Genomic DNA, 23290 nt, shown 5'->3' with positions numbered 1-23290 from the left:
AATTGGAAGAATTAGGCAAGAAATAAAATGTGTGCATGTGTGTGTGTATCTGTGCAAGTGTGTGACAGAGTGGAAACTAATGTCAGTGTGATCTAATTTGGCCAATGTTGGCCATTCCTTAGAGACTCCAGATGTGTATGTCTGTGGTTTAGTCAAAATTTTTGCATTTATACACAATTTAAGAATTATTTATTGAGAACAGACTACGTATATGCTAAGAACTCTATTAGGCACTCCTTGATATAATCATTTAAATCCTATCACTGCTTAGTAACAGGGAACAACTTCGCATGTGTGTAAAATAAATTTCCAAAGGAACCTTTGTGAACCTTCGAATGCATTTTGGTATTTAATGATATATGATGGTAAAATTCATGTATAATTTGTCATTTTAGCCATTTTAAGTGGAAAATTCAGGAGCATTAATGACATTTATAATGTTGTACATCCATTACCACTATTCCCAAAACTTTTTCATCATCTCCAACAAAATCTCTGTATATATTACATGAAAATTTCTATATTTTTACTAACAATGTCATTTTTCATATATAATTTCCTGATCTTTTCTTATTTGTCCATGTTTTCAATTAGCTCTTTAATGATATTTAGTAAGTCTCATGTCTGGGCTTCCTCAGGGATGGTTTCTGTAATTTATTGGAATCATAAATAACAATTTATTGTGTTCCTTTGAAGGAACTATGGCTTTGTTTCTTTGTATGTTTCCTGATATTTTGTTGAAAGCTGGACTTTTGAATATTATAATGTAGTAACCTTGTAAATCATATACTCTCCCTTCCTTTGGTTTTGCTATTTTTTTCTGATTGTCGACAACAGTAGTAGTTCACACGTTTAGTAACTTTTAAAAATTATTTTTGAAAGATTGTGTTCTTTATCATGTGTGGTCACTGTAATCTCTGTTCCCTAACTGCTGTTCAGCTAGTTTTAGCAGATTTCCTTCAACAGGAGAGAGCCAGAGAGAGAAATAAAGAGAGAGAGAGAGAGAGAGACTGAGAGAGCACAAAACAGAACACACACACAAGAAACAAACAAACAAACATCACTCTCAATCTTTGCAGATCATCCCTGTGCTAGAGAATTCTTTCAACACTTAGGAGTTGTGCATTGAGCTGAGGGATGAGTGTGATCTGAAAGCTGAGGTTCTTCTCAGGGCATCTCTGAGCATGTGCATGGCTTTCTAAAGTTTCTCTTATACAACCTGCTTTTGAATGCACAGATTTTTCAAAGAAACTCTACCTCACTGTTCCTTCAGGGCCTTACATGGCCTATTGCATGTCTCCACCTAATCTTTTGCTCCATGCATCTGTGGGTTGCTAGTGTTTTTTGAGCAATGCCTACAGCTTTTCAGGCCTCAGTAAATTCCAGATTATGTGACACACAGAGGAGCACCTTGCATCTGTCCTTCAGGTAGCTCCTGGGCAAGTTAGAACAGGCATACACAATAATTTGCTAATAAACTCTGCTCTGCTCTACTCTTTCCAGAATCAGGCACCAATGGCCCTCACTGGGAACCTGGGCTTCTGTTTTCCTGAATGCTGCCAAGTCAAGAAAGGGAGTGGAACAAGGACAAGTAAAAATGTCATAGAGCTTTCCTACCATTTTTAAGCGGTCTTTTTGTTGGCTCAGCATCCCCTTGGTTGCTGTAAGCCTTTGTATGTTTTCTAGAGTTCTTTGAAAGCTTTTCCTGACCAGTTCTGTTTGCTATTTGATGTTTGATGTTTCCGTGGGTGGACAGGAGCTTGGAGCTGCCTGTCTGACAATTTGCTGATGCCATTCCTTTCACTCCTGTCCCTGGGTTATATTTTTTTTACATACTGAGGTATAGATACCATCTTCAGAAAATTAGATTCTGTTGGTTTGAAAGTTAAGGTGGTCTTAAGTGTTACAACAAATAGGGCCCCTAAATTTTATGATTTATTAAAAGAAAATCTTTCTTAGTCATGTAACAGTCCAAGGGTCTAGATCAGAAGGTGGATCTCTACACACGGAGATTCAAGCAGATGCAGGCTCTTTCCTGTATCATCCTGGGGGCTACTTCACCCTCTGGGGCAGTGCTGCCCAAGAGAACTTTCTGCAGTTATGGAAAGTCTATATCCATGCTGTCCAATACAATAGCCACTCATCACAGATGACACTTGAGTGATTGAAGAATGGCTAGTGTGATTGAGGAACCAAATTTGTCCTTTGATTTAAATTTAATTCACTTAAATTTACACAGCCACATGTGGCCAGTAGTTACTGTTTTGGACAACATGGATCTAAGGCCTTTAAATCACCAGCATGATCAAGGCTCGATTGCCATGTCTAGGTTCTAATAAGGTAAGAGGTAGATTGCTTCGTGGAGTCATCGGGCATGTGCAGTTTGAGAGCTGACACACATCACTTCTGCTCAGGTTCCACTAACTCGCTTGGCTCACCAAGTTGCAAAGGAGGCTGGGAAATATTTTCCCTGGCTGTTCTTCCATATCTCCACTGTAACGACTCTGGAAATAGAGAAGGAGGGAACTTTTTGCACAGCTAGCAGAGCAGGCTTGATCACAGTTGCTCTGGTATAAGGCCCAACCATAATTTATTTTTAAAATCTTCCAAAATGATTCAGATATTCAGTTGTGTGAACTAATGTGCCCTTGTTTATTATCTGTTAAATTGGGATAATGACACCTACCTCATGGGGTTCTTGTAAGGAATTGCTGTTACAGAAGTCACATACTGAACTGGCAGCTATTCAACAAATTGCAGCTATTAATTTCCCATTATTGTTGTTACTGATTGTAGTTTCTCAAAAATGGACAGCTTCTTCCTCTATTTCTCTGTTAGGCATTAATATACTTTTAAAAATCACATATTTTCTAGATGCTGCAGTTTTCCAAATTTTTCTTCACATATTCTGATCCTTCTCTCTTTTTACTTTATTATTATTTTAAAGATGGGGTCTTAGTCTGTCACCCAGGCTGGAGTACAGGGGTATGATCATGGCTCATGGCAGCCTCAAAATTCTTGGCTCCTATGATCTTCCTGCTTCAGTCTCCCAAACAGCTGAGACTACAGGCGACTACAGGCACATGCTATCATGACTGGCTTTTTCTTTTCTTTCTTTTCTTTTTTTTTTTTTTTTTTTGGTAGATATGGATGTCTCACTGTCTTTCCCAGACTAGCTCCAACTTCTGGCCTCAAGCAATCCTGCCTCAGCCTCCCAAAATGCTGGGATTACAGGTGTAAGCCACTACACCTGCCTCTTTTTACTTTATTTATTCCCCAATTAAAATGAAATAAAAGACAAAACAGAGAACTCTACTGTATCTAAATATTGAGAAGGCAAAATCCAGTATCTCTGGGCTCTGGGAATGCCTACATGAAGAATATATGTTTTTTCTCTAAGTGATACATAGTCCTAAATGGGGAGCTTGACATTGTCTGATAACCATGCCACAAAATGATGGTCCTATATTTAATGTATGTGCAAAGGACTGTAGGTGGATAGGACTGGGGGCAGAACATTGCTTTCCTGGGTTGATTGACTTTACAAAGGAGGTGACATTTGAGTAGTATTCAGATGGATGAAAAGTCTTGCCAGGCAGAGAAATAAAAGAGAAAAAGACGTTTGAATTCCTACAGCTCTCAGTAGAGTAGCACGCTCTGCTTGTAGTAGATGCTTAAAATTATCTCTTGATAATTAGTGAAGGGATTTCAAAATATCATATATAACGAGCTGCTTAACAACCTAGGCTCTAAAACACATGTGATCCCTAGTCAGACTCCCAGAAAAAAAGCCTCTGTGACACTAGCGAGGCCTCTTTTTAGCACTTCTGAATATTCTCTCTCAGCAGCTTCTAAACATGTCTCCCTCCAACTGGATGCTGAAAGAATGTCACTTCTCAGCAGAATGAAGTTGCCACTAGGTAGAGCTACAGACGCCCAGTCACTTTATACCTCTGGACTGGCAACAAAGAACAATAACTGGAGAGCAGAATTCCAAAATCCAATAGAATGACATTAAAGGCCCTGCTTTAGACTCCAACCTATTTTCCGCAAGCCAAATAACAACACAGTTGAGCGATGGTTTCTGGAAGTCTGCTGGTGTAACAGCTAGGTTAGGCTGTATCGCAGAAAACAACTCAATACAACTTATATAAACGGATTTTCTTCAAAACTAGAGGTTTTTTTTTCTCTATCTTTTCATCTTTCCTCTCTAGTTGCTCAAACAAAATCCAAGAATGAGCACTGTTGACCTGTATTTTCTAAAAGCACTTCTTTTTATCAAAGGGAATATTAGACCTCCTAGCTTTTTTGCATTGGGGCTTTTGTTTTGTTTTCTTTTTGTTTTTACTCTTTAAAGTTTATGTTTTTCCATTCTGGAGATATAGTTCACACCCTTAACAATCATCTTAACCATTTACTGTTAAACATCTACACATAGTATATGCATATATGCTATATATAGTATGTAAGTATTACATCTCTAATTTTAAGAAGACATGTCTATATTTCAGCCTGTAGCTCATAAATAGTATGTTCATTTTTCCTTAAGTGCTTTGCAAAGCTGAAATTATGATTTGGCTTTATAATTGAGAGCACCTGAATCTTATGTTTTATCAAGGTTAATCTGCAAATACTGATAATTTCCTTTTCCACTAGACTCACAAGTATTTTGGGGGCTGACACGCTTTCTTCTTTGTTTCCCTGAGATCATCAACTCAGGAATCAAACTGCTTGGGTTTGATTCCTGCTCTACCAGTTCCTAGCTTCAAAACTTTGGATAATTTCTTCAGCCATTTTGTGCATCTTTTTAAAAATAAAATAGCAGCAACTATTATAGGGCTTTTGTGGGAATTAAAATCAATTAACGAATACACGATATTTAATATAACCCCTGATACCTAGTAAGCACTCAATATTAGCTGTTGTTTTCTGACTATTCTGAGACTCCTAAATTCTCATCACCATAATCCAGGGAGGTGGGTTTTTCGGTAAAAATTGACAATCATATTGCAACTACTACTTACGGTATCCTCTGTTTCTAATGACTGAAGTCAATACACAAATACTCAGTTATAAGCCTTTTAACCTGTATCATTAAAGGCATGTGATAGCTAATTTTATGTGTTAACTTGGCTGGGTGCCGAGTTGTTTGGTCACAGACCAGTCTGGATGTTCTATGAAGTAATTTGCTGAAGCCAATACACAAATACTCAGTTATAAGCTTTTTAACCTCTATCATTAAAGGCATGTGATATAGTTAATTTTATGTATCAACTTGGCTGGACTGTGGTGCCGAGTTGTTTGGTCATATACCAGTCTGGATGTTCTATGAAGGAATGTGTTGAATGTGATTCTTTTTAAATCAGCAGACTTTCAGTAAAGCAGATTACTCTCCATAATATGGATGAATTTCATCCAATCACTTGAAGGCCTTAAGAGCAATGACTAAGGTTTCTCAAAGAAGAAACCACTCTGCCTAATGATTGTAACCCTGTCTGAGTCTCCTCGGTCTGGCTTTCCATGTGAATTTCAGAATCAACATTGCAACATAAACTCTCATCTAAATTTCCAGCCTGCCAGTTTGCCCTATAGATTTAGCATTTACAAGGCCCTCAAATCACATAAGCCACACATGAACCAATATGCAAATGCTCATATATGTTATATTATATATATGCAGATATAGGAATACATGTTTGTGTGTATATACGTATATTCATTGTATTGGGTCTAGTTTTCTGGAGAATGCTGATTAATCAGATTTTGGTACTGAAAGTTATTCTGGGAGAATGGAAACTTAAAGGCGATTTCTCTAAATTACTTTCAGGGTTTTAGGAATTAGTAGTAAAAAAAAGCATTGATAATCCTAGCATGACGTGGCAGCAAATATACACAAAATATCACCATTGGATGCTCCTAATTAAACACTTATAAGAACCCAGGTCTGGCCTGGTGCGGTGGCTCACACCTGTAATCCCAGCACTTTGGGAGGCCGAGGCAGGCAGATCACGAGGTCAGGAGATCGAGACCATCCTGGCTAACACAGTGAAACCGTGTCTCTACTAAAAATACAAAAAATTAGCCAGGCGTGGTTGCAGGCATCTGTAGTCCCAGCTACTTGGGAGGCTGAGGCAGAAGAATGGCATGAACTCAGGAGATGGAGCTTGCAGTGAGCCAAGATCACACCACTGCACTCCAGCCTGGATGACAGAGTGAGACTCTGTCTCAAAAAAAACACACAAAAAAACCAAAAACCAAAAAAACAAAAAACCCAGGTCTTGGTGATTGGTGATCATGTATTTGATATCTCAGAACATTTTTGTCAAACAAATAAGCGTGATGAGTGAGATTGGCTGGTTGCCCTAATGTCAATGGACAAAGTGGAGAAACAAAAGGATAAGTTCGGGGACATAAATTCTCAGATCAAGAGCTGCATAAAAGATTTGAAAGTCTCCATGTTTGCCCTTAAAAAAACTTTTATGTTCTGTAGCAGCAGAGCTGAAATTGCTGCTGAAAACCAAACCAGAGTCTTTTCCTCCAAGTGGTTGACTTACAACACTAAATGAATTTCCCAACCATGTCGGGTGTCTGCTTTAAAGTGAAGGCATTAATTGGGAAGAAACAAGACCCTGAAATTTGGAATAGAGACATATGAGAAGATTCTGATTAAGGTGAGGACACTGAACCCCTAAAATTCGAGTGAAAGTTTTTTCCTGGTAGAAGCAGCCCTTCCACCCTGTCTGGAGATGTTCACCCTGCTTTACCCAAGAAAACTGTAATGGTTTCCCCTGAGGTATTTGCCTTTCAAAATACTACCGATTCTTTTCACAACCCTACTTCTGCTTCCCTTCTTTACTTCTAGACCCATAACTAGACTCAAGTACAAAGTATGAACTATGAATAGATATGCAACACTCCAAAAGAACTACATGATTGTTCAGTTTATACAAACAAAAATCCATAGAATATATGTAAGCATGGATATAAGGGTGTGGTATAATGGAAGAAACATAAATTAGATCAGGCCTAATGTATTGACATGGGCCTACCAAGCAGAAATTTTAGATTCAACCTTGTAGCTCATGGGGTTAGAAAAGGTTCCAACTGTTTGATTAGTTGGCTGAAACACAAACGAAAAGGTGGCCTGCATTAAATAAAGCTGAATGCCAGAGAGGCCTTGGTATACCATAGAGGAAGGTACCCAAAGGCTTAGGGAGACTGGAATGTTAGAGAGAGGATTTATTGTGTGAGACCTGCTCACCCACCCTAGGAGAGGCGGCAGGGTACACCCTTTCCCAGGGCTGTAACAGCTACACTTGGAAGGAGATCCTCAGTGTCCTTAAAGGACCCCATGCACCTTCTCTGATCCCTTGGGTTCTATTTTTCTGTAGGCCCTTGACTAATGCAACACATGATTAAACTTTAGTCCTAATGCCAATGAACTCAAGATAAAAGATCTGGAGACAAAGATTTGTGTTTCGGGCCCAGTTTTGCCAATACTGACTGTGTGACCCTCAATCGGTCCTCCTTACTGTGCCCCAGATGTGTTCTCATCTGAACATTGAAGATGAAAATGTATGACTAGTATGATTCTATGGAGCAAATTGAAAAGATATGCTAAGTAACCTGAGAAGTGCTCTTAATGAATGCAGTTAAGTTCAGGAAAACTACCTGTTTCACCTTACTTGAACATTGGTATCTAATTCTCATTTCATGATGTTCATGTTGGGTCATTCCAATAGGTTTTTGAGGCACTTTATGGATTTATAATTCAATAAATGTATATTGGGCAATTGTTTAAATAAATAGAGTCATGGTCTAGGCCAACACTGTACAACAGAAATATAATGAGAGCTACATTTAAAAAGTGAAAAGAAACTGCTGAAATTAGTTATAACAATATAGCTTACTTAACCCAATGTCTCCAAAATATTATCAATTCAAAGCTAATAATATAAGATGGTATTGAAGAGATAATTTACATCATTTTTTATAAGATCTCCACAAAATACAGTGCTTATTTTTATTTACAGCAGATCTTAATTTGGAGGAGCCTCATTTCATATGCTCAATAGCTACATGTGGCTGTTGGCTCCTGTATTGGCCAATGGTTAGGTGTGGGCTATTCCATTGGAAAATCCCATTGTCCCTTACTCTGCACCAGTGTACCCCACCTGTCATTTAGGCAAAATAAGATATAAATGTGGTTCCAAATTTCACAGAATATTACTAATTGTTTGTCCTATCATGAGGGACGATAAGGGACTATATTCAAATATTACTGTTGTTTTTATCACTTCTGAGTTATAAGGAAAGAGAGACACATTTCTCTCCTTTTCTTTCTTCTCTAAATTACATACTGGACTTAATCCTCTACATCACTTGCCTAAATAATTGTGTCACTCCTTTTTAAAAATGCTGCAATTACTATGAAATAGTCGATTAAACTGTAATTTGATTTTAGATTTAACATGCAGCCTAGAGAATAATTCTTGGTAATGGCCTCTTTTTCTGATCATATGCTTTCAGTTACAAAAAACAGCTATGCAATATCTGTACCATCACACATAAGTGACTCTAGTAACTGTTGATGGGGGTGTTGAAGTTCATCAAATAGAAAAGTAATCTTTGCATGTCCAATTTTAGCAAAGAACTGTTTCTGGAGAATGATGCAACATTAGGACAGTGCAGAAACTATCAATAAAAAGAACTTTCCCCCAGGCCTTGATAATTGAAATGAGGTAGCTGACAGTGTCCTCATTGTTTCTGAGCTTTCTTAAAGAGTTCACGGCCATAGCCAAAGGATACCTAAGTATAGGATTTTTTTTTTTAGCTTTATTCATGATTTGGAACTAAGGGGACAAAGGTAGTAAACATGGTGCTAGGACTTAACCGGAAAGAACCAAAGGGAAACCAGCCATTTCCTAATTCACTGGTTTACTTACCAGGTGTTTTGATAGGTATTTACTATATGTAAGCCAGCATTCCACAAAGGGAAAATGGAAGTTAGAAAATATGGTGTAGTAACATTGTTCATGGAACCTAAAATCTCATAAGGTTAAAAAGAATTGACACAAATAACTACAGTGCAAAGCACTACAAGAACCGTGTCAATAAGAACTAGGTTGTTCAGAGGAAGAAAAGATCACTGCGTGACGTCATAACCAGAGGGGACTTCAAAAAGGAGGGGCCATGTGAAATGGGTTGTTTAAGAACAGCAGAAGTGAAGAGGAGGAAGAACGATATGGGAAATTGAACGTGAGGAAGAGTTGGAGGAGAGGTTTCAACTATTCTAATTTTCAGGAAGTCTTAACACTCTTTTGTTGTTATTGTTTTTTTTTTTTTTTTTTTTTTTTTTGAGACAGGCTCTCACTGTCACCCAGAATGGAGTGCAGTGACCTGATCATGGCTCACTGTAGCCTCAACCTTCCCAGGCTCGGGTGATTCTCCCACCTTAGCCTCCTGAGTAGCTGGGATCACAGGTGTGCACTCCACCCAACTTTTTTTTTGGTAGAGACAGGGTTTTGCCATATTGCCAAGCCTGGTCTCAAACTCCTGGGCTTGAAGGATCTGCCTGCCTTTGCCTTCCAAAAAGTGGTGGGATTACAGAAACGAGCCACCAGGCCCAGCCACCGATCTTGAATAAAATGCTTTTCATAACTGTTTGACATGTATCGAATTTATGGCATAGAACATATTTTATTCTTTTAAAGAAAACCTTGGCTCCTTTCCATAAAAAACATAAATAATAAAAAAGGGGGCAAAAATTGGAAAATGGAAGTTTCTCTTTGAGTAATGGGTTTACCTAGAAGAGCAGGCTTATAAGCAAATTAAAAGATAGAGTGGGATGTTTGAATATCAGGCTAGGAGATTTGAGCCTCATGTGGCTAAGTGAGACTGTGACTCCAGGCAGGTAGGTGGCTTTGGGAGGCTTGTTTTATGCCACAATCAAAGATTGATTTAGGAAAATTGTACCTAGTAGTGGCATTTATAATGAAGAAGACTGCTGGCAGCAAGATTATTAAGAGTTTACTTCAGTGGACTAAGAATAAATAAATAGGGACCTGGACTAAGTTGGTAACAATAGGAAGAGAGGAAACAAGGGCAGGTGAGAAGGACTGTGCGAGGAAAATGTGACTGTGTGTAAATGCAAGCACTGAGAGAGAGGTGACTGAGGTTTCAAGCCAGGAGATTGAAACACCAATACTAGAAATACAAAAGTCTTCAAATCAGTCATGTATAGTCATCCCTCGGTATCCCTAGGGCATTGGTTTCAGGAGCCCCCTGCTAATACCAAAATCCAAGGATGCTCAAGTGCCTGATATGAAATGGTATAGTATTTGTATATGATGTACACATGTCCTTTCGTATACTTTATCTTTAGATTACTTATAAAACCTAGTACAGCATTCATGCTAAGTAAATAGTTGTTGTGCTACATTGTTTAGGAAATGATAACAGGAAAAAAAAGTCTGAAAAGGCTCAGTACAAACACAACCATCCATTTAAAAAAAAAAAATTTCGATCCATAGTTGGTTGAATTCACGAACACAGAACCCATGGAAACAGAAGGTCCACTATGTATTGAAATTAGGATGCTCAAAACTACCCAGAGGGAAGGCTATTAGGTTAAAAAATGCCCCCCTCCCAAAAGATATTCACATCTTAATGTGAACGTGGGTGTTAGCTTATGTGGAAAAAAAAAAGAAAAAGAAAAGAAAAAAAGAAAAGAAAATGTTTGCGAATGTGATTAAGTTAAAAATTTTGATCCAGAAGCTTATCCTGGATGATCGGCATGGACCCTTATGTATCCTTATAAGACAGAGGCAGACGCAGATGGCACACAAACAGAAGAGAGGAGTGGGGGAGACCCCCTCAGCAGACAGAGAGCCATTTAAAGATCCTTTACTTCTGGCCAAGAAGATGGAAGAAGGGGCCATGAGACCAAAATACAGGCGGCCACTACTCACCGGAACAGGAATGCAAGGCTGCTCTTGACGCTGGAAAAGCCAAAGCTAGGGATTTTCCTCCGGTGTCTTCAGAAGGAGGCTTAGCCCAGAGAAGCAGACCAGGTTTCTGGACTCTAGAACTGCAACAGAATACATTTGTAATTTTTTTTAAGCTACCAAATTACTGGTAATTTTTTCAGGAGTCCTAGGAAATGAACACTATAAAACATCCCCAGAATGCTGGAAATGTGGAGCTGGAGCCGAGAAGAGAAGCTGAGGTTAAAGAAACAGTGGAAGGTGTGGAGTTGGAGAGAGCTGTGGCAAGTGGCCTGCAGGAATAGAGAGGAGAGAAGAAAAAAAGAAAAAGCTTTACATGCTGTCCACATTAGGGATCAGCAGAATACAAAAGAGAGCCCAGCAAAGGAGACAAGAAGTAGATGTTGGAGACAAGAGGAAAAGACAAGAGGAAGGTGAGATTTTAATGAAGGGTGAGATTATCAAGGTTTAAAAACAAAACAAAGGAAAAAACCAGAAAAACTTTTAAAGAATTCCAGACAGGGAAAATGGAGCAGTGTACATTCCTAGGAGAGGTAACACAGTACCCTTCCTAATAGCTAAAGCTAGTGAGACCATCTCCACTTTTGGGAAGAACCAATGCCCAATCACTACTGCCTGGATGTGAGCAACAGCCTCAAAGGGCTACAGAGCACTCTGCTCCTTTTAGTTGCCAAATATCAGAACGCTTGATACAGATTCATCAACACAAGAAGAGAAATTTTTAAGTAAAATTCTTGCTATGCTGGCAATCAATATTTAGTGAATCTGAGCTCACTTTCAGTGTGTTTATAAAAGTGGAATTTGTAAAATGAAACAGATTCAGTACACCTAAATGTTTTTCCTTATTTATTCCCTAACTGTTCCAGGTTAAATTTTTCACTCTATAAATTTTTGGAATGTGCAACAGCCAACTTTATATCTAGCTAAAGGTAATCCAAAAATGACATATATATGTAATTTGTTTTAAACAAGGAATTTGTGTTTTTTTAATCTGTGAACATATTACTATGATGATGGTTAGGGTACCCAAACTGGCATCCCAAATCTCAGAATAGATATTATAAGATGAAACAACATTGATGTTAGCTCATGGCTGGGTTCCTGTGAGCACTGAGCCCTAAGTTTAAATCTCTCTGATCCTTGATGGAAACTCTATAAGCTCTAAGCTCAGTCCACCTCTAGACCTTAGAGGATAAAGGAGTTGATTCAGAACCATGCAAAACACCCACTGCAAAATGTCAAGTTCTAAGAGAGAAAATCTTGTAATAAATGTATCAAATATGTGGGAACTCACAGGGTCTCTGGCTGCGGTGATTTCACTGATAATCTGGAGCAGGCTACAGGGCAACAGAACAGCTGATGGGCAGGCTATTGAGAGGTGAAGCCAGCTGGACTTTCTGGTTCGAGTGGGGACTTGGATAACTTTTCTGTCTAGCTAAAGGATTGTAAACGCACCAATCAGCACTCTGTGTTTAGCTAAAGGATTGTAAACGCACCAATCAGCACTCTGTAAAAACGTACCAATCAGCACTCTGTAAAAACGTACCAATCAGCACTCTGTAAAAAGGACCAATCAGTGCTCTGTAAAATGGACCAATCAGCCAGATGTGGGTGGGGCCAAATAAGGGAATAAAAGTTTGCCATCTGAGCCAGCAGCGGCAACCCGTTGGGTCCGTTTCCATGCTGTGGAAGCTTTCTTCTTTCACTCTTCACAATAAATCTTGCTGCTGCTCACTCCTTGGGTCTGCACTACCTTTATGAGCTGGAACACTTACCACGATGGTCTGTGGTTTTGCTCCTAAAATAAGGGAGACTACGAACCCACTGGAAGGAAGAAACTGTGGACACATCTGAAGGAACAAACTCTGGACACACCATCTTTAAGAACTGTAACACTCACTGCTAGGGTCTGCGGCTTCATTCTTGAAGTCAGCGAGACCAAGAACCCACTGGAAGGAACCAATTCTGGACACACCACGGCTATCAGACTGTTCTCAGCCTGGGGTGGGTATGAAGTGCATTCCGCATTTTCCTTCACAGGAGTTCCTAGAGTATTTTTCTTCCAGCTCAGACTGAGATCCTGGCTTGCATATAGTCTTAAGAAGTAAGGAAAAGAATAAGGGATTCTACGTGACAGAATAAAATTAGTGATTAGGAAGTAACCAGGACTGCTGGCTAAGCAGTGATGTTTATGTAAGTAGGAGGTAGCTGTACTGGTTGTTCTGTTTGTCTTTCTGCCTCTCTGTTCTTGACTCTGTTCTCCCTGCTCTGTGCCCTGTGAGACTGAACCCGCTCTACCTTGTCACCCAGGCTCTCCTGCTAATTGGTGACTGGGGATCAGGGGGCAGGAGAAAAGTGGGCATGAGAAGCAGGGGGCGCCTTCCCCGCAAGTCCTCTGCATTGAGTCTGTCTCTTCCTGCAGCTGGGCCTTCCTTGACTACAGCCGCTGCTGGGCAGAACTTACTCTGAGCTTCGGTTCCCACTGGGCTCCAGGGGCACTGTCCTCACCTCCCAGTGCTTCAGCCCAACGGACATTAATTGCTGGCCTCCGGTTCCTCAACATCCTTTGTTTCTTCCTGAACCTACACACACTTCTATAACTAGAGGTTTCATTAGCTTCTTTTCATTTTAGCCCTCTAGGATGAATTCTATGTACCGCTAGGCACAGATGATCTCATGGATCAAGGGGTACTATTCAGTCTCCATCCTCAAGCAGCCCAGCAAAGAGAACTTTGGAATTCCCACAACAATGTTCCTTCTTCCCTAACTCCTAAAAGGAAGATATTCTTTCATGCTTAAGCAAAGTTACTCCTAGCTATGTGATGAAAGAGGAGAGAGAAAGGGAATAAGTTAGGGAGGGAAGAAAATTTCTGGTTTGCAGTTTGACTTGTGAAGCAAAATACTTTGAAACAGTACAGGGTATGGTAGGAGTGAGTGGGCAAAGGAATGTTTTTAAGGCTTTTTGTAGACTCTGAAGCTAGACACTCTACATGAATTTTTAGAAAACCACACGAGTTTTCGCTTATTTATGTTGTTGATTTGTTTCTTTTTTGAACCATGCTTATATTACATGGGTTCTGAATAGATAAGGGTTTCGTTTGGGATAATGACATCTTTCTCCCTCTATAGAAGCAAAGATTTTTCTGAATAAAATTAGGTTCCTCAAAGCCCCTCCCTCATCAACTCTCTATCCAGAAGTCCTCAAAGAAAAGATTCTATATTTGTTGTGGCTGTAGCAACTTACATGTCCTTATCATAACCCTTTCCAAATGAAGCATATGATGGTGCAGTGGATCTGCTCTATTCTAGGGTAGTTCATGGGCTTTGAATGCCAAGCTTGCAGTACCGATTTAGCAGGAATGCCATGACATTTAGCTGACAAAAGCTGAAGAAATTCACATCATTAGTCATCTCTTCCAGCATCACCTTAGGTTTAATTTCAGTCTCATCCATCACTCAATGCTTTCTTTGCTTCTCGATTTTTGACATCTGTCAGGAGGGACCTTATTCATTCACTTTTCTAGGCAGTTATTTCCTAAGCTTTCGCCATTATGGCCTCATTCTTCTAGGACTTTGGATGGCATCCTATAATTATCAACATCTGATTACCAATAATTTGTTGCTATTTCTTAATGCTTTTTTATTTTTTCTTTGTGCATGCATTTCTCCTATTGCTATTTAGTTTATGTTACAAGCAAAACTTTGGAGCTGAAAATAGCATTAAATCTCATATGCAAATCCACCCATTTACCCTCTTCAGTTATCATCAGAGAAACCCAGCATCAGACTAGTTAAATGACTTTCCCAAGATAAAACAGCAAATTATTGGAAAACCTAGTGCTAGAACCTAGTCTTTCTATGTCCCAGACCAGGATAAAGACAATTCTCTGACATAGAATATTTTTTCACTTATTTTAGAGTTTTATTTATTATACCTGCATTTATTCCTTTAAAAGTGCAAACAACAAGACAAAAATGTGGATAGCAAACCTCTGGTAGGTTTTTTTTTTTTTTTGTATTCAGAGCACATACTTTGATCTTTTCATTTGCTATGAACTGTATTTAGAGTAAAAAGTAAACAGGTTGCCACATTTTGTCTCACCCATCTCAAACAGAAGTCACAGATCAAGTAAGTGATGGATTTGGGAACCAGAACAGACAGGATATCTGAAACATGTACTGAGAATTCTGGTAAACAAGTCAGTCTGTAGAAATGTATTGTGTAGCTATGAAAAGGGTGGCCAGTGCAATAAGTGCACAACTCTGTACTGGAGATGGAGATAGGAGAGGTTTGCAACAGTTCCTGTCTTTCAGGAGATTGGAGTATAAAGAACCACCACAACAATGTTTGTTATACCAATTTGAGAGCCAAAGAGCAAAAAGGCATGCACACACACACACACACACACGTGCACCTGCATACACAACCTATGTAAATGAATGTATGTGAGTGGTAATAATATTTTTCTTAAAGAAAATGAGCTATTCTGTTTATATCATAAAGAGAGATTAAAGGGAAACAAATAATATTTAAGGTATCTAGCTGTGGATGTATTATAAATACATAGAAAGGTAAACATAGACTCATGATTATTGCCATCTTCTTTGTGAGCTTCTATTGACCTAGTCCTGGGCCTGAATTTTTTTACTCTCCTCTCCACCCCCTATACTCAGAGCATCATTCTTCAGGTTCTGATCCCAGTGTTTTGATAATGGCTGAAGATGGCAATAAATTTTAACTTCCAAACGCCTACCTGGATTTTCTTTATGAGATCTTACTGAATAATAAAGAGAGACATAGAACAGGCTTTTGTCAAGACACTTACCTGTTATGCTACTATCTGAGGGTAATTCCATCCAAAAGACAGACGATGGCAGGAATTCCAAAGGACTAAGCCCTGGTATTATTCCCACACATTTTTCTTGCCTCCTGCTCAATCCTTACAAATGGTTCATTTGCAAGGCTCTCCCTGGGTTGTACTAGTGAAGTCACTTCTTTTATTCTCTCTGCATCCACCGTCTACCCTTCCAACCCTCCGTTTATTCAGGAAGGCTCACTGGACAGACTGCATCATTGAGATCCCTTGCCTTCTGGTTTCTAGGTGGTCCAACCTATGGGAAGTTAGTAGAAGACTAACTAAGGGGAGAAGATCAGAGGGAAGAAAATGAGTGAGGCTAGGATCAATATTTCCTTAGGTCCATCCCTGAAGAGTTGCCTTGGGCTGATGAGCCCTTTGATGAAGGTGATTGCTCTTCTCAACATGGTTCTCTTTATAAACTCTCTTCATAACCTTTCCAATAACTGCTCCCTTCTCTCAGCCCCTTGAGACTAAGAGTGGTTACATTTCCACCAACACTAGTTTCAAGCTACTGCACTATCTCTTGAAGTATACCTACTTCCTGCTCACACTATTGTAAAAGGTGCCTTACTAAACCTACCTCAAATTACCCCAGAGTATGTTATCTGTATCTTGCTAGGGCCCTGACAAATACACTTATCTTAAACGATGTAGTCTCCATACCAAAAGGTCGTTGCTTCTCTTATTTTGTAGCTTTGACGATTCCTCAGGAAGTTTAGAGAGCTACTTTATGCTGATGGCTGGGAGAGTCTGTGACTTACTTCTGTTTGGGTTCCCCTGGGGGAGAAATAACTCTGTAAACAACCACCACAGGACCACTCTAGTGCACTATCAATCTAAACCTTTGCAGGCAAATGAGTGATAAGCCAATTTTAGAAAGTGCTGAATCTTATGTTTAAAAGGTGAGTGAGTAGATGCAGACAAACTATAAGAATATGTTTCTATTTTCTTATAGAGTTTAGTTGGTTTAGAGGTTTAAAGGCAAGTCTTTAGAAATCACTCCCTTAATAAGTCAGTAGAACTATCTTGTTGACAGAGGTTTAGTGACATCTTGAGTAATGAGGAACCTATAAAAGCTGACTGGTCCATCTCTTCTGACAATGTGCTTAAGGGAGTTCTGAGAATTCTGCACCATCCTTCCATTTTGGCTATTTGCTTGACGGTGATAGGGCAGGATGGCAATGGGATTTAGCTACAGGTTCCTTAAAATGAGCTAAAGTAAATAAAGTCCCACTACTGGAAATAAGGGATAATGGTGAGGCTTTTATTTCAATTGCCGCCACTGGTGGACTGAGTAACTCTTTGTGGAAGAGTCTATCAAAGGTAGAGATGTTCCTCCTCTGAAAGAATCCTAAGAAAATGAATATGGTGTCTTGGCTAGGTTTTCTGATTATTTATCTTGATAGAAATGATGGCAGAATAGCCAATTAAGTCAGCATGTGGTACAATTTTTTATATGCTTTTCAATTAGGAAATTTATTTTAACCCACCAACATTTTTAGTACCCAGGAAACTTATGGAAGGAATTCCATCATGAATCATTATGGGCAGAATTACATGATAACTACTTTCTAGAATAATAGCATTTTTGGATGGGGTACAGTGGCTCATGTCTGTAATCCCAGCACTTTGGGAGGCCAAGGTGGGCGAATCGCTTGAGGTCAGGAGTTGGAGACCAGTCTGGCCAACATGGTGAAACACAGTCGCTACTAAAAATACAAAAATTAGCTGGGCATGGTGTTGGGTGCCTGTAATCCTACTTGGGAGGCTGAGGCAGGAGAATAACCTGAACCCAGGAGGTGGAGTTGCAGTGAGCTGAGATCACGCCACTGTTCTCCAGACTGGGCGGCAGAGTGAGACTCCATCTCAAAAATTAAAAAATAAAAAATAAAATACTAGCACTTCAAAAATAAATCAAGGCACTCTATTTGTGGATAGGCACTGTTGACATTTGGGTGGCTTGAATGAAATGTTGGATACCTCGTCTACAAACAACACAATACACAAATCGGTGAAAATCCATACAATTTAATTTGATTATCTGAAGAAGATCAGGGAGTTCTTCTACATCAATATTTCCAGTGGGCAATTTGAAGAGACAAACAATCTCAAATATGAGCATTTCACATTGCTCCCTTGAATTCCAGGAAAGTTTTTATTTTGCCATTAAATGTAAGAAGCCAGGGCTGGGCGCGGTGACTCATGCCTGTAATCCTAGCACTTTGGGAGGCCAACGCAGGCGGATCACGAGGTCAGGAGATTGGGACCAACCTGGCAAACAGGGTGAAACCCTGTCTCTACTAAAAATACAAAATACAAAAAAAATCAGCCTGGCATGGTGGCGGGCGCCTGTGGTCCCAGCTACTCTGGAGGCTGACGCAGGAGAATGCCGTGAACCCGGGAGGCGGAGCTTGCAGAGAGCCGGAGATCACGCCACTGCACTCCAGCCTGGGCTACAGAGCAAGACTCCGTCTCAAAAAAAACCAAAACAAAACAAAACAAAAAAAACACCCAGTTTTTCCATGGAGTGATAGAATTTAATTGATGAGCTTGACGAGCTTAATTACAGAAGGGAGAGCTCCAAAATACATGTGAGTACTAAGGATTATGACATCAAGGCTGTAGATTTGATGATGGAAATGTTCAGTTTCATTATTTTAAAAAGGAATCATTTGTGGTGGGCATGGTGTGTGTGTGTGTGTGTGTATGTGTGTGAATGGATACCTTTATCCACTCATCCTTGATGGACACCGGTTGATTCCCTGTCTTGGCTATTGTGAATAGTGCTACAGTGAGCATGGGAGTGAGAGGTGGCAGCATGCTGGCTGTCCTCACAGCCCTTGCTCGCTCTCGGCGCCTCCTCTGCCTGGGCTCCCAGTTTGGCGGCACTTGAGGAGCCCTTCAGCCCACCGCTGCACTGGGAGCCCCTTTCTGGGCTGGCCAAGGCCTGAGCCGGCTCCCTCAGCTTGCAGGGAGGTGTGGAGGGAGAGGCGCGAGCGGGAACCCGGGCTGCGCGCGGCGCTTGCTGGCCAGCTGGAGTTCCGGGTGGGCGTGGGCTTGGCGGGCCCCGCACTTGGAGCAGCCGGCCGGCCCTGCCGGCCCCGGGCAATGAGGGGCTTAGCACCCGGGCCAGCGGCTGCAGAGGGTGTACTGGGTCCCCCAGCAGTGCCGGCCCACCGGCGCTGCGCTCGATTTCTCGCCGGGCCTCAGCTGCCTTCCCGCCGGGCAGGGCTCGGGACCTGCAGCCCGCCATGCCTGAGCCTCCCACCCGCTCCGTGGGCTCCTGTGCCTCCGGAGCTTCCCAGACGAGCGCCGCCCCCTGCTCCGGGGCCCAGTCCCATCGACCACCCAAGGGCTGAGGAGTGCGGGCGCACGGGGCGGGGCTGGCAGGCAGCTCCACCTGCAGCCCCGGTGCGGGATCCACTGGGTGAAGCCAGCTGGGCTCCTGAGTCTGGTGGAGACGTGAGGAACCTTTATGTCTAGCTCAGGGATTGTAAATACACCAGTCGGCACTCTGTATCTAGCTCAAGGTTTGTAAACACACCAATCAGCCCCCTGTGTCTAGCTCAGGGTTTGTGAATGCACCAATCGACACTCTGTATCTAGCTACTCTGGTGGGGCCTTGGAGAACCTTTGTATCTAGCTCAGGGATTGTAAACGCACCAATCAGCGCCCTGTCAAAACAGACCACTGGGCTCTACCAATCAGCAGGATGTGGGTAGGGCCAGATAAGAGACTAAAAGCAGGCTGCCCTAGCCAGCAGTGGGAACCCGCTGGAGTCCCTTTCCACAGTGTGGAAGCTTTGTTCTTTCGCTCTTTGCAATAAATCCTGCTGCTGCTCACTCTTTGGGTCCACACTGCCTTTATGAGCTGTAACACTCACCATGAAGGTCTGCAGCTTCACTCGTGCCTGAGCCAGCGAGAGCAGGAACCCACCAGAAGGAAGAAACTCCAAACACATCCGAACATCAGAAGGAACAAACTCCAGATGCGCCACCTTAAGAGCTGTAACACTCACCACGAGGGTCCGGGGCTTCGTTCTTGAAGTCAGTGAGACCAAGAACCCACCAATTCTGGACACAGGAGCACAGGTGTCTTTTCAAGATTCTGATTTCATTTCCTTTGGATGTATACCCAGCAGTGGGATTTGTGTTCATAAGGTAATTCTATTTTTAGTTTTTGGAGGAACCTGCATATTGTTTTCCATAATGGCTGTGCAAATTTACATTCTCACCAACAGTGTATAAAAGTTTCCCTTTCTCCACACCCTAACACTTGTTACCCTTTGTCTTTTTGGTGATAGCCTTTCCAGCAAGTATGAGGTGACATCACATTTTAGTTTTAATTTGCATTTCTCTGATGATAGTGATGTTGAGCATCTTTTTATATACCTATTAGCCATTTGTATGTCTTCTTTTGAGAAATAACTATTTAGAGCAATCTTTTAACCAGAAGTGCAGTGATGTTCTCTTTGTGAGGTCAGTATTTCTGAGCAGTGGGAGAATGGGAAGAACATTCTAATCATTGAAGGTAGAAATAATACATTTCTGCTGAGAAACAAAGCTAAAATATATATTCCCTGATGTATGGAAACATAGATAAATGACTATTTTTCTTTAACAAAACTGTCTTCCGTGCTCTCTTGTATCGCTCCTTCTCAATAGCCGTGGTTCAGGTAGACGCTGATCTGTTGATCTTCCTTTCACATTCCCTCCCTGATCACCCATGAGGCTCCAAGCTCTTCTCCATTTGTTGTGTTTACTTAACCAAAAGCAACAAGGTACTTAGCAGTAGAAAATGTCCTAGCATTTATTAGTATCCCTTCTCTTTGGGGAGAATTATGCTCTTAAATTGCATTTTGACCTCTTTAACATATGAACAGCTTTTTCTTTTTTAAAATAAATGAATATTTGGCCTTGTGAAAGAAAAACATAACAGAAATGAAATGGCCTCAGAAACACATGCAGTCATTGGTTTCTCTGCATAATAGATATATCTAGAATTAGCAGAGTGAGTACCTACAGCGCTAATTGATGTGAAATCCAAGGAAAGGACAATAGGATTTTTAATTCTAGGGTTTTTCAGTTGGGAGTCTAGGCCATGGAAATAGTGTAGAATTGAGTAATATCACACAAGTATTTCCACTTGCCTCCCAACTAGAATATGATCATAATCAGAGAACCAAGACAGCAGTCATAGATGCACTAAGGAACCCTAAGAAAAAAATGGGGATTTGATTGGGAATGTGGTTCCATATTAGGTGCTTACTTGGAAATGCTCAATGATTAATTATTATAAGTTTGGACGAGGTCAAGTTTAGCCAAGAACTTCCTCTTAGGAAGAAGAGGAAGGTGTTGGATATGGAAGGTATTTCAAAGAGACGTCTGTTGCTGGGAATCTTACTTTGCCAGTCTTTATAGTGTGTATGTGTGTGTGTTTAAATTAGTTGTTACTCAAATGTTGACGTTCATTTTTTGAAACCTAAGTTATTCAGAAAAAGTACCAAGAAGAGAGCAAAAAGAGAAAATCATCTCAAGTCCCACAACTCAGAATAGTCACTGGTGGTATTGCATAAACACATGTCTACATCACCTATCTGTGCATCTGTGCATATTTAAAAGTGGAAGCATAGCTAGCTTGATAGATAAATAAATAGAAAAAAATTAAATTTTATTGGACTATATATATTTCTTTTAGTAAAAATCTGTTGCATTTAATTTTACTTGAAACTGGCAGAAAAAATAGTGCTCGATTTTTATAGAAGAAAAATAAATTGATAGGGCATTACAAACAACACTAAACTTCAGATAAATACTTATTTTTCAAAAAGGGTATTTATTTTTAAGCAATCTATTTAAGGTGCAATATAGTTTAATGAAAAGATATTATAAAACCATATTTCACATTTGTCTGACACCCTCAACTAATGTAAGTTATGTCTTGCTCATGTTTTTAATCTACGACCTAGAATAGCGTTTCTCAAACTTTTTGGTCTTTGCACCCCTTTACACTCTTGAAAATTATTGAGAACGAGAGAGAGCTTTTGTTTATACTGCTTATATCTTACTATATTTACCATATCAGAAGCTTACACAGAACACTTTCTATATATATATTTATATATATATTTATATATTTATATATATATTTATATATTATATATTTTTATATATTATATTATATGTTATATATAACATATATTTATACATATACATTTATATATATTTATATATTTATATTTATATATATTTATATATTTATATTTTTATATATTTTTATATATTTATATTTATATATGTTTATATATATATATTTATATATGTTTATATATATATATTTATATATATTTACATATATTTACATATATATTTATATATATTTATATTTATATATATTTATATTTATATTTATATATATTTATATATATATTCATGGACTAATGACAATAAAGCCTATAACATGTTAGCGTAAATATTTTATTTTTTAAACCTATATTTTTCAAAACAAAAAGAAAATTAATTTAAAGAATGGCATTGCTTTACATTTTTTCAAATCTCTTTAATGCTGCCTTAATAAAATGGAGGTGGATTCTCTCATCTCTGAATTCAGTCTGTTTCAATGTGTTGTTCTGGTGGAAGTATAGGAAGAAAATCCATCTTTCCCCAGATATGTACTTGCAAAAGAGCTGTATTATAATACCTTTTCAGATAATTAGCATTCCTCTTTGATACCATACAAAAGTGTGACAAGTGGGAATTTCTTAAAGGTGGTTGCAGTGTGGAATCTAAAAACAATGAACTTTTTCTCCTGTGACATTAAAAGTAGGTCTGTCTTGCACTTTGAATGGATCTTTTCTCATGCTTGATTTTGTGTTATCAAGCAGGGCTTATTTGGAATGATTGTTCACTGAATTATATCGTATCTTCTCAATGTCGACACATTTCACTATATAATGTCATTGTATTAGTCTGTTATCATGCTGCTAATAAAGACATATCCAAGACAGGGTAATTTATAAAGAAGAGAGATGTAATTGACTCACAGTTCCACATGGCTAGAGAGGCCTCACAATCATGGTGGAAGGCGAAGCAGGAGCAAAGGCACCTCTTACCTGGCTGTAGGCAAGAGAAAGAGCATATGCAGGGGAACTCCCCTTTATAAAACCATCAGACCTTGTGAGACTTACTCACTATTACAAGAACAGCATGAGAAAGACGTGCCCCCGTGACTCAATTACCTCCCACTGTGTCCCTCCCACAACACGTGGGAATTATGAGAGCTACAATTCCAAATAAGATTTGGGTGGGGACCCAGCCAAACCATAACAGCCATCAAATCATATTTGTTATTATCACCACTGATTTAAACAGAAAAGTCTTTTAATATTGAAAATGTGACAAGCTCATGGTGGCAAACGCAAATTTT

The 23290-nt window shown here is 39.7% G+C and overlaps 1 long non-coding RNA gene across 2 annotated transcripts in view; it reads right to left on the bottom strand.

Moving 5' to 3' along the window:
- Positions 1-12459, bottom strand: part of GACAT1 (gastric cancer associated transcript 1) — a 68018-nt gene extending 55559 nt beyond the window's left edge. For both annotated transcript variants that reach the window (NR_126370.1, NR_126369.1), the window contains exons 1-2: positions 12301-12459; positions 10971-11089 (exon numbers count right to left, since the gene is read on the bottom strand). This is a non-coding gene — a long non-coding RNA (gastric cancer associated transcript 1). The remainder of the gene's footprint in view (positions 1-10970; positions 11090-12300) is intronic.
- Between the last annotated feature and the right edge of the window lie 10831 nt (positions 12460-23290).

The sequence above is a fragment of the Homo sapiens genome, chromosome 2, assembly GCF_000001405.40.
Source record: "Homo sapiens chromosome 2, GRCh38.p14 Primary Assembly".
NCBI lineage: Eukaryota > Metazoa > Chordata > Mammalia > Primates > Hominidae > Homo > Homo sapiens.
The sequence above is the reverse complement of the archived record's forward strand: the minus strand, read 5'-3'. Positions and strand labels throughout refer to the sequence as shown.